Below are 12,829 nucleotides of genomic sequence, written 5' to 3' on the forward strand. Positions count from 1 at the left end.
AGGGAAGGATTATTCTCAGTGATGGTTAAGTTGAGATTCTCAATGCCAAGAAAGCAGCTATACAAAGATAAGAGGGAAGATGACTACAAGCAGACGGGAAAGCAAGTGCGACACTGAGAATGGGTGGATAAGTGTATGAGGGACTGCATGAAGTCCAGGGTGGATGAACTGCAGAAGATCGGGGGAACAGAGGGAGAAGGTGAGATCCCAGAGGTCATGAGAGATTGGTCAAGGGCAGGCCTGTAGGGATTTGTAGGTTAGGATGAGAAGCTTCAACTTGTTTCTTTTCAACCCCCTAATACTCTGTGCACCTCTTTTCTGTTACACATAACCCTCTGTATCTCCCTATCCTGCCTGCTCTAAAGAAAATGAACATTTCTCATATATCTTCAGTGCCTATTTGGGATCTCAACAGAGGTTTCCTGAATGAACAGGTCACATATTGGTATTATAATAAGGCAAAATCCTAAATCCTATAAGATATTTAGAATAAAGATTAAATAGAAGAAAAAAAATGTTTTCTAAAGGTAATGCACAAATGAAGGCCAAGCAAATTGAATCTGAATTCCTCAGGCCAACCTGGTTGTTTCTACTAGAGACCATGATGGTTCCCCAAGTTTGAATGAATTAAAGCGAACACTTACTAATTTAATTAACTCATTGCCAGAACCTGAAACATCAAACTGTTGGCAAAAAGCAGCTTTATGCTCTGAATATCGTGCGGTAGTCGTACATTAACTGCTTCTCTAGCCCGCTCACTAAGTATTCCAAGTCATTGTGCAGAATCATGGTATCTACTGTTACATCACCAAAAACTATAACAGACAAAAATGGAAAGGCTATTATACAATTCTCAGAACTGAAATAGGATTATGTATTACCTTTCAAATAACACATGGTGATAAAATTTGCTTTCCTTAGAAATGACTTATAAATGTTTTATTGCCTAATGATTAGCTTTGCATTTGCATGTTGGATTTTCTGTTTGTACTACACAGGGATTCTGCCAAAATTCCAATTATAACATCATTATCTAGAAAGGGACACACTAGTTCTAACACATTTGAGACAAAGTTAGCCAAATAGCAGTTTTAGAGGGTAATACCACACATTTATGCACATAAACAGAGCATGTTTCTTTGGGAGGATTAAAAAAACAAACAACAACAATAATACACTTTTTTCAACTGGCTTACTGTGGCCTTGAGGCTTCGGCCTGGTCTGTCTGAAGTTTTTCTCCTTCCACTTCCATTGTACAGTAAACAATTCGATTGGGAGCAACTGACTTCAGGCCTTGCACTTCCATTATGACAATCTAAAGATAAAATGATTTTAAAATAATGCATCAAGTTGATAACATTTAGCAATATACATAAACAGCAGCATGAACTGTAATAAGGAAGATTGACAAAACTGAAAAAAAATTTGTTTTTTGTTAACATCACTGGTATTTTATCTTCTTTATAATCCACCTCTATTCATAGAAGGTATAATAAATAACATTTTTAGGAAATCTGGTAACTGAAAATATATCTGCTGCCAGATACAAATAAAAGTAAGGTCAAATGTCATAAATATAAGCCATAGTGAATTAAATGAAATTTAAACTCAGATCCTTAACAAATTAAGGCAAGTCTGCACATTAAGCAGAATCACAAATGAAAATTCAGTGCAGATGATAACAGCAGTACATGATAAGTACCATATAAAATAATATAGTATATATTATTGGTAAACATTGATACCATCATACTAACTCACTGATATCAATATGTGATATCAGAAATTTTCTATATTCACTTATTTGAGATTACTATTATTGTCTGTAAAAGAGTTTAATTTATGGACTGTGTCTTATTAAATAGAAAATTATAATTTGTCACTGAACATTTTAATACTAACTTGGTAAGAAAAAATATTTTTTCTATCCATTAAAGATATGTACTAATTTAATTCAGTACACTGGAAAAGGGTGGAAAAACTGATATTGCCTTATGTACTTGTAACTCCTGGGAGAAAGGACAACATATATTTTTTATGTGTGCTTTTTAATGTTTGTCGAAGAGGCTGCCAATCTTAAAACACTGTAACCTATCATTCTTATTGGATGTATGTATCAAATATGAATATTATTTACCATAGCGTTTTCAATCAAAAGTTGCATCATGAACTCTTCTAAATTCTCAAAATTTAATTTATAAAATAGATTAAAATGCATTTTTATATATGTACATTGATGTCTTAATTGATCCCATGTGGTATTTGCACAAACAATAATAAAACTCATGTTATGCAGCGACCAAAACATCTATCATAAACATAATCTGTATCAGTTACTGATCATGTAATACTTTATTACAGTCATCACATTTTTTAGAGTCATGATAAGAATTTTGATCCAAAAGGGCTCAAAAAACAAACCATCTTAAAAGTGTTCTTCCTTTCAGCTCTGTTACAAGAGAAGGGTCATGTTTGTAAATATGAATGTGTATTTGTTTTTTGTTAAATTTTGTTTTCATAAAATATATAGGAAACTGATCACTCAGTTATTTATCAATAAAATAAAAGGTCAAACTCAGAACAAGTTTTCTTCCTCATCCAGGGCTTTTGTCATTTTCTCACATGGAAATACATACCAACATATGAATCAAAATCAGGACTTAACTGAAAACAGACTAAGAAAATTAATGGAGAATTGATAGAGAAAAGCAGTATCTTTCACAGCTGTTCTAATACTCATCAGGGAAATTGGGATGAAATACTAAATCTTGATTAAAGAAAATAAGCAAAGGAAGTTATGCATTTTTAATGACTCAGATTTTTTGTTAGTAATATGGAAATTTGTTAGATTCTTATACAAAATGAAACCAGAAGCTGAGATAAATCAAATATATAACCATATTAATTAAAAGGCAACTACACTTGGACTTACCACCATTTCTCTAATAACTTCTTAATAATAAAAATGTTTGATGGTCATTTAAAATGTATGAAACAACAGAATTGTGTAGCACAAATCTAGAAATCGTAAGAGCATTGCTTCATATTTCAGAATATTATTGTTGACACTGCATCTCTTTCTGCAGTGTGTTTAAATAACCCAAATGCAAGAAAGGAAGCATCTGCTTGACATTATTTCTGTCACCTCTACTATAAGCTACTGTAAACATGACCTCCTAAAACATACAACTTGTGAAACAGTACTCTGCTTTTCAAAACAATACTTCCAACTGTGCTGGGAACGTTTTACCCTGCAGAATCGTCATTTTCAAAAGATACAGCTTCTGTGATGAATCTATATGTATAAATAAAACAATATGATTCTACAGATCTGATATCCAAAAGGAAAATAAAACATAGGTGGCCTTAATAATTAGTGATAAAGACAGCCAAGAATTCCATGGACCATCAGCTAATCTAATTTTAAGTGTTTCAATTCCCAGCAAAACTTGCTAATGGACCTACAGAAGCTAAACTGACCTATTTTTCATCTTCTCTTCCCCAGTCTCTCTGTAGCTGATGTCATAAGCATAAAATAAAGTTGTCCTAGAAGTAAAAAGAAGAGAGGCATGTATAAAATGTGAAACTAGGTAACATTCTTCCAAGTGAAACACTGACCACAGAGTTAGGAGACATTTAAGCATGTGTAGTTTATAAAAAAAATGACACTGGGCAATATGGTGAAATTGGGGACCATATAGCACCAAACATAGAGAAAGTCATGGGATCTGCTAGCCTAATATCAATGAAAGAATTCAGTCTAAAAAATCAACTATAAGCCGGGCACAGTGGCTCACGCCTGTAATCTCAGCACTTTGGGAGGCCAAGGCGGGCATATCATGAGCTCAGGAGATCGAGACCATCCTGGCTAACACAGTGACACCTTGTCTCTACTAAAAATACAAAAAATTAGCCTGGCTTGGTGGCAGGCACCTGTAGTCCCAGCTACTAGGGAGGCTGAGGCAGGAGAATGGTGTTAACCTGGGAGGCGGAGGTTGGCAGTGAGCCGAGATCGTGCCACTGCACTCCAGCCTGGGCGACAGTGCAAGATTCCATCTCAAAAAAAAAAAAAATCAACTATATTCATGCCACTGATAACATTCCCCCACTTTCCACTTCTTAAGTGAACGTTTGTTTTTCTAGTATTGCTTGAACATTTAACATTATTGAACAGCTTAGCGTTTTGTGGATTGGCTCATCTCTTGCTTTAATATTTCTTCTGAAGCCTTAATGAACAGAGATACCTAAAAGTAATCCTGAACGGCTGTTTTTTTGATACCATAAAAATCCTTAATCCAGTAAGTATTTATTGAGTCAATTGTGTGCTAGGCACTGTTTAGGCACTTTCAATACTTCAGTAAACAAAAAAGAAAGAGAAAGAAATATAACCTTCCTGCAACTTATATTCTAGTAGAGAAAGCCAGCTAATTAACAATAAACACAATAAATAACTGAACTATATGTTAGTTGGTAAGTACTACAGCAAAAACTGAACTTGGTAAGGGAATAGGGTATGGTGGGAGAAGGGAGGGGTGGGAGCAATTTTAAAGAGAAGGTGAAATTTGAGGAGAGTTTTTCAAATCTGCACTTTATTCCTTCGACTCAGTATAGTTCTTAGAAAAGATTCCTCCACTGGACCACTTCTAAGCCTGACTAATGAAATGTGTGAGCTTTAAATTGATTTAACTGCTTGCCTTTCAGAGTCTTCTTAGGCTGAAATATGGGGTCTGAGGAGCAAGGCTTGCTGAAAGGACTAGAGATAATTATTCAGTTTAGCTTGGCTGATGTCACAGGTCCTGTGACTAGAGGCATATCTATTCTCTCTGGTGTCCTATAAACATGCACTGCACCATCGTCACTTAACACGATTTTACTTTGTTGCTGGACACATAACTCCTGCTTAAAATACTGTGGACATTGAGAACAGATTTGTATTATGCTATGGTAGGAAAATATCTGCCTTAGATAGACATAGCAACAGAGGATGTCAAAACAATTTTATAAATATGCAAACTTCTCAGACCATGCAAAGTGAAGTTTTAGCTCATATTCTCTGCCTAACAACCTACTGCCAACTCAACAGCCCTCCTAAACATATTGGCAATAAAGCACAGAATAACAATTCATAATTTCACTTAAACATTGACTCAGCAGCCTAATTTTGTTTTCAACAGGCAAAATATAATTCATAAGAAGTTAATTATTACAATTGTTTAAGATTTTTGAACAATAGAGAAAAGATAAAATGTTCTGAACTTTTAGTTCTGAATGTTTACATATAAAGATAATGGTAGATTTGTAAATTATAAAAGTTATTTGCTCTACAAATTATTTTTTTCATCAATAAATTTAAATTATAGACTAGGCACGGTGTCTCAAGCCTGTAATCCTAGCACTTTGGGTGGATTGTCTGAGCTCAGGAGTTTGAGACCAACCTGGACAACATGGCGAAACCCCATCTTTACTAAAAAATACAAAAAAAAAAAAAAAAATTTAGCCAGGCATTGTGTTGCATGTCTGTAGTCCCATCTACTCAGGAGGCTGAAGCGGGAGAATCACTTGAACCCAGGAAGTGGAGGTTGTGGTGAGCAGAGATAGTGCCACTGTACTCCAGTTTGGGCAACAGAGAGAGACTCAGTCTCCAAACAAATAAATAAATAAGATAAACTCTTGTTGGAAAAAGTTATACTATAATTAAGGGACGAATTGTGTTTTGTATAAAGCCTTAAAAAACAGAAAAAGTTGACGTTTTGTATTTCACTCAGCAGGAGATCTGAGACAGGAATAATGAGGAAATTCTATAGGTAACATGCTATGTAGTTTCAAATTAGACATCCTTATGTCAAAAGGCTGAAAAGGCTAAGAAGAAACCCAGTAGTGAAACCATTTGGCAAAGTCATTAGGTAAGCCCAGAATTGAATCTTGAGTCAGAAGAAAGACTCATAGTTCTAATCTGACACTAAGTTTAATCCATTAACCTACAAATAAATCATTAATCCTGAAGTCAAGAAAGTGAGAGGCAGATGTCCTGAAGTTTGAATTTATCTCAGAGTTAAATATATGGAGAAAAAAGAATAAAAATCAAAGTTTTCTTTTTCTGCCATAAACTAAGGAAGTGAAGTTTCAATAAAAAAATTGAAAACTGTTCTTCGTAAGACTGTATTTACTTTTCTTTGTCAATCAGCAAATGCAAATGGCAGCACTGGGAACCAGCAGAGAGGATAAAAAGAATGAGCTATAAGCCTCAATATAATTTTTGAGAGAGCTATGAATTAAAGTGTCACATTGTTACTATTTACTCACGGAATAAAAATCATGGGGAGGGGAAGCTTAAGTTTAAGCCAAATGGTGACTTGATACTCCTAATTATTATGTTATAATCTTTTATCTTAATGCCTGACATAAGTTCTTTCTCCTAGGAACTAAAGATGTCAGGTGTGTGTGTGTATGTGTGTATGTGTTGTGGTGTACAAACCCACAGACATATAACTAGATAAGCCCACATACACACATCATCAATGAAGAGATATCATGTAAACCATCAACAGAAAGCTGTACAAAGAGTATTAGTCTTTGGTTCCCAGTGATTTGCATAAAATAATGAAATTCTGAAGTTTTGGAGAACACAATTTTAAATGTATGACTTTTCTTCTTGCTCTAATATGTACAGTGCCTGTAATAAAACTTGAAGTCCTGAAAAAGAATTATCTATTTCTCATCATCCATGATACCTAATAATGTGCATTAGAACTGGCTTATTTGATATGATCCTAGAAAAATGATCCTATGGGTAAAGTAGATTTAAAAAGAAAGGTTAACCAAAAATCTGAAAGGAATTCCCAAATTACAAAGAATTCAATTATATGTTGAATTGCTATTTCTACCCACGTGCGTTTTGATGCTTATTTTATCAATGAATTTTTGTTATTGTTTTATTTTTGAGACAGGGTCTCACTCTGTCAGCCAGGCTGGAATGCAGTGTCATGATCACCATTCCATGTACCCTCAACCTCCTGGGCTCAAGCAATCCTCCGCCTCAGCCTCCCAAGTAGCTGGGACTACACGCTCACATCATCATGACTGGATAATTTTTTTTTTTTAGAAACAGGGTCTCACTATGTTGCCTAGGCTGGTCTTAAACTTCTTGGCTTAAGTGATCCTCTCGCCTCGGCCTCCCAAAGTGCTGGGATTACAGGTGTGAGCCCCAATGCTCATCTTATTTTATCAGTAAATTTACAATAGCCTCGCTGGCATAAAGAAGACTTGCCTTAAAACTTCTATTATTTTATTTAATCCTAATATTGTTGTTATGTTTAAAGGAAAATTTGCATTCATTTGCATATATAAGCTGAGTGTCCAACAAATGGAGAATAATTTAACATCTCCAACATATATTACACTGTTTTAAATTCTAAAAGTTACTGCAAAGGTCAACAGAAATTATTGTGCATCATCATTTATGCTGTCAGAGGTGAGCATGAGATAAAGCTACTTACCTCTAAGGTGAATGACAGTACCACGTCGGACTTTGACAGCTGAATCTCATTCTCATCTCCTATGTCCAAAAATGCAGAGTTCTGTGAACGTTTTAATTTTTGTAATTTAAATTCCGGACCACCTTTCGAAACTGGAAGACTTTCCAAATTGGCCATTAGCAAATTCACTGAAGACCGCAACTCTTCTATATACATATTCTCCATATCTTTTGCTATAAATTTGGGGAATTTTCTTTCCTTGAAAATAATTTTTAAAATAATAGTGTTACATAAGTCATATTTCAATTTTATCATACAAAATTGTATGATATATATACTTCACTGTCTTAGAAATTACAACACTCTCAATATATCTATCCTACTTGAGTCACTAGGCTGTAAAATCCTCAGGCTTTGGCATTTTTGATTATATCTATGGTACTTCAGATATCTTATTGAGGATCACTGCAGTACAAAATGAAAAAATCGCATATATTTTCACATTAAATTTATTTGTGATAAGATTTGCTTAAGGAAAAACAAACTCTGAAAACATGCATGGAAGATATTTTAGCGTATAGATGAACCTTAGCCACTAGTAGCTTTGCGATGCTTGGGATAACTGGTCTATAAAAAAATGTTCAGGACACACAGCTTTCCAAGTTAGGAAACAAACATTTTAACAATAGCCCAATTTCTTACCACAGATATGCGTTGTTGGAAGAGTATGCTTTTTCATAAATAGGCATTAAAAACTCACATTATTGAAGAGTGATATGGTCATATTTCTAAAATTAGTAAATTTTCACATTACATTAATGTGCCAAGATCTCTTCTGGCTATAAATTCAGTTTTTTACTAAAGGCTTAGAAAAAGTTAAGTTTAAAGCAAAAGGAAATTTATGATAAAAACTATTAAGGGAAAAATTAACAATATCAATTTGGAAGATTCTATTTTCTTGCTAAATTATATCAGCATTGCCATTCAATAATTTTAACTCTGCAATCAGATTTGTTTCTTCTGCTCAATTAAAAGGATGTTCCAAATATTGATATTTAGATGGTGCCGAATCATTCTTAGAGAAGATTATAATAAATTTATATTCCCCAGAACAGCAAATGAGAGCACTTTGTTCCCTCACATTCTTGGCTCTTTCTTTAATGTTTGCCAACCTGGCACTTAGGTTTTCTCTCTTAAAGACAGAGGGTATATAGTTTTACAACATTAAGCCTAGTTTAAAATGACCACCAGTGCACAGAACCGGCTGGAGGATGAAAGCCTAAAGCAGCCATCTTTCAAATGGCTGCTGAATGCTCCAGAAAAGCACTGCCTTTACTGTTGTCTCCCTTGACATCATTCAAAATCTAACCTAAGAAATCTGCATGTGTAGTACAATTTGAAAGCATCCAGCATGCTCTTGTCAACCTGCATCTAGTCTCTGACTCACTTGCACCAGTTCATTCATGGGATTGGAAGGAACATCTGGCACCACTTCACAGATCAGTCCCAGAGTCTCAGGCCACCTGCTTTTCTTCTCCTCCAATATAACATTCACATATTTCTTTTTAAAATAATTTACATATAATCAAAATTAAAATTGCATAATGTCACAGACAGATTAAATATCTACATTAAAAATTAACTTTCCCAAAGAAGGTTCTTAAATATCCTTTTAAAATTTCTCTACAGTTTGAAGCAACATTCCAAAACAGCAAATTTGTATCCTTAAGAAAAACAGGCAACTACCCAGCTATAAAATACCTGGGTTTCCTTTAGTGGGGCGGGGGAGGGAAGGAATTGTCTTTAGAATATTTTTTCAGTACAAGCAAAGAGAGGGGAAAAAAGCAAAATGATCCATAAAAAACATATTTTACGTTTTTGGACTAACTTTAAGGCTGCCAGAAAAAGCATCCAAAACTGAGAAATAAGGCAAAGCAATGAGGGGGCAGATCCTTTCAATGTCGTATGGAGGTGAAGGCCATCCAATGATCATTTGGGGAAAAGTTCTTAGTTCACCTTATTATTTATTATTGATTAAAGATTCCAGACAATAAAGCTACATGTTACCTTGTAAAACTGTGTCTGAAAGAGGTGCAAATAAAGTTTGGTGAATAATATAACCCACAGGTTCAGTTTAAATCTGTATTAGAAATTAACCAATTTTTGATTAAACCCCATTAATCTTACCTTAGTAATGCCCCCAAACACCTAGTTTCTCATATGCTCTTTGGTCTGGTTTTAACACCTAACTTGTTTGCTTATTAATTATGCGTTGAATAAAATCTCTATTGTGTGTCCATTTTATATTTATATGAAAATCACAATTCTACCCCTAAAAAAGTAGAGTTTAACAAAGAAAAAGGCGAGCATGTCACGTATCTGAAAGTTCTGATATACTAACGCTTTGCTTTCAAATTTTCAACATGTTATGGAAAATCTAGCATTAGCACAAGAACAAAAATAATCTATTTGTATTTAGCTTTAACTATAAACACTTCATGAACTATCTATCATCTGTCAAACAGGAGAAAAGCAGGCATCTCCAAAATTGGCTCTTTTATCAGTATTTCCAAACATTTCAGGGACTAGACTATACTTGAATTTTTTTCTCCAAAAAAGCTCAAAATTCAGTTTTAAAGCTTTGAGGTTTATTGATAATATTTCATTAACTCTATTCAGCCTGCTTGTGTTGTCCCTCACTGGCAAACAACAAAACTAACTGTATATCAGACAAATGTACATTTTAAATTTGTTGTTTTAAACTAGAATTGAATGAGAAATAGGGTTATTTCCTAGTTGTCTAACTGTGAGTCACTCTTACAAGTCATGTGTTCTAATTAGGTCCTCTGTACAGCATAGGTCCCTAGTGGTCTTAACCCATGGTATACACAAAAACAATATTTGCTTCTTTAAAAAGTTTTTCTCATTATTCAAATATAGTCACTTTTTCTTATGCGCTCTTAACCTTCCATTAGATGACATCTGGGGTTCATATCACAGGATTGTTTCTCTAAGCTGATCTCTGCTGCTTCCCATGCCCCACATTAATTTTAGGTTCTAATCTCAGCATCATGGCATCAAGTGAACTACTGGCTGTGAAGCTGGTTCCAAACCTAACTAAATCGTTGAAGTGTTTAAATGTTTTTGCTACAAATTAGAGCAGATTCAGTTATCCTTACCATATTGGTATTCTCTCTTCCTTTCAATTCAAATATGCCTTTGAGTGGGAGAAAAGGGAGGGAGTCTACAAATAATTCAAGAATTCTTCACAGCCCCAGATTTCTCACAAATATGCCAGCATGTAAGACTCAGTCATTTGATAGACATTCCCTGAGTGTCTGCTATGTGTTCTGCTCCAAGCCCCTGGATAGAACCATGAAGATAATGGACAAAGTCCTGATAGACTTAGTAAACAAGGAAATAATTTCTTCTGATAGAAAGTCATAAGTGGCATGGAGAAAAAGTCTAGAAGGAGGAACACAGAGTGAGTGGTGAGAAGGGTTGCAGCTTTAAACGGGGTGGTAGGGGAAGGTCTCAATGAGCAGATGATGCCCTTTGAGCTAAAAGTGGATAAGGAAGTATGATGATTAATTATTTTTTTTTTTTTTGAGACAGAGTTTCGCTCTTGTTGCCCAAGCTGGAGTGCAATGGCACAATCTCGGCTCACCACAACCTCCGCCTCCCAGTTTCAAGTGATTCTCCTGCCTTAGCCTCCTGAGTAGCTGGGATTACAGGCAGGCGCCACCACGCCCGGCTAATTTTGTATTTTTAGTAGAGACGGGGTTTCTCCATGTTGGTCAGGCTGGTCTCAAACTCCCGACCTCAGGTAATCCGCCCGCCTCAGCCTCCCAAACTGCTGGGATTATAGGCATGAGCCACCGCATCTAGCCCAATTAATTTTGTTTGTCAGTCTGGCTAGGCTATGGTGCCCAGTTGTTGGATCAAACATGAATTTAAATGTTGCTATCAAGATATTCTTTAGACGTGAATAACATTTACAATCAGTAAATTCAGTAAATCGGATCACCCTCCTACATCTGTAGGTAGGTCTCATTCACTCAGCTGAAGGATTTATGACCAAAGGCGAAGGTTTCCTAAAGAAGCAGCAATTTTGCCTCAAGACTAAAACACAGAAACCCTGTCTGAGTTTCTCACCTGCCAGTCCGCCCTACAGATTTCAGACTTAAGACTGTAACATCAACCCTCACCTGAATTTCCAGCCTGCCTACTTGTCCTATGGATTCTGGACTTGCCAGTGCCCACAGCCGTGGGAGCCAATTCCTTGAACGCAATCAATCTCTCTCTCTCTCTCTCCCTGCCCTCCCACACACACACACATATATATACACACATAACATGTATGTATGCATAACATCTACTTTTTAATATTATATACATATTTATTATATCTACCTAGATATTGGTCTAGATATATGAAAATACAGATATAATCTCCTATTGGCTCTGTCTCTCTGGAGAACCTGACTACAGCAGGGAGAAAGCCATGTAAATGTCAGTGGAAGTTCGCTGCAGGTGAAGAGTCAGGGCCAAGACCCTGTGGCAAGGAAAGGCAAGGAGGCCACCATCGCCAAAGTGGATTGAGCAAGGGCAAGAGTTTAGTGGAGGATAAAGTCAGAGGGGTAAAAAAGACCAGATCACACAGGACTGGGGTAACAAAGACCAGATCACACAGGACTTTGCAGGCCATTTTAGGAACTTTTCTTTTTTTCTCAGCAACATAGGGAATCATCACAGATTTAGTGCAGAACATCACTGGCTGTTGTGTTAATGAGGACAGGGGTAGAATCCAGGAGACTGGCTAAAAGGACAGAACAATGATCCAGACAAGAGACAAAGATGAATGGACCACAGTGGAAAGGGAAGGATGGTAACAACTGTCACATTCTGGAAATACTGTGAAGGTAAAGATAAAGGATTTCCTGATAAGTTTTGCATGAGGTATGAGAAAAAGGAGTCAAAGATGATTCCAAGTTTTTTGGCCTGAATATCTGGAAGGATTGTACTATCAAGAACTGGCCTGCCCTGACCACTTGACTGAAAACTGTAACCACCCACCACCTCTCTCCTACACTCCTCATCCCACTTTTTCTGATCTATTTTCTAAGTAACAATGATCACCTTCCATAATTCAATTACACGGCATGTTTACTCCTTATTGTGGGGCTATCGCAAATAAAATGTAAGCTCCACCAGGGCCTGGCAGAAATATTTTTGTCTCATTTTATCCCAATGTATCCCAAGTAGCTAAGACTGCACCTGGCTGTATAGTTGGTGTTCAATAAATATTTGGTCAATTAATTTGTGGATAGAAAAAATGAGGCTCGAAAGTGTTA

At 35.8% G+C, this 12,829-nt stretch overlaps 1 protein-coding gene across 29 annotated transcripts in view; it reads right to left on the reverse strand.

Annotated features, from left to right (window-relative positions):
- CADPS2 (calcium dependent secretion activator 2) overlaps positions 1–12,829 on the reverse strand; it is a 568,050-nt gene that overhangs the window by 295,574 nt on the left and 259,647 nt on the right. For 28 of the 29 annotated variants that reach the window (NM_001363398.2, NM_001009571.4, XM_047421032.1 and 25 more), the window contains 2 exons: positions 7,497–7,733; positions 1,197–1,315 (listed from right to left, as the gene is read on the reverse strand). In NM_001363398.2, the coding sequence (NP_001350327.1) occupies positions 1,197–1,315; positions 7,497–7,733 (356 nt within the window). Of the gene's footprint in view, positions 1–1,196; positions 1,316–3,480; positions 3,538–7,496; positions 7,734–12,829 lie in introns of those variants that run through there. The other variant, XM_047421034.1, reaches the window with a different exon arrangement.

This window comes from Homo sapiens, chromosome 7, assembly GCF_000001405.40.
Source record: "Homo sapiens chromosome 7, GRCh38.p14 Primary Assembly".
NCBI lineage: Eukaryota > Metazoa > Chordata > Mammalia > Primates > Hominidae > Homo > Homo sapiens.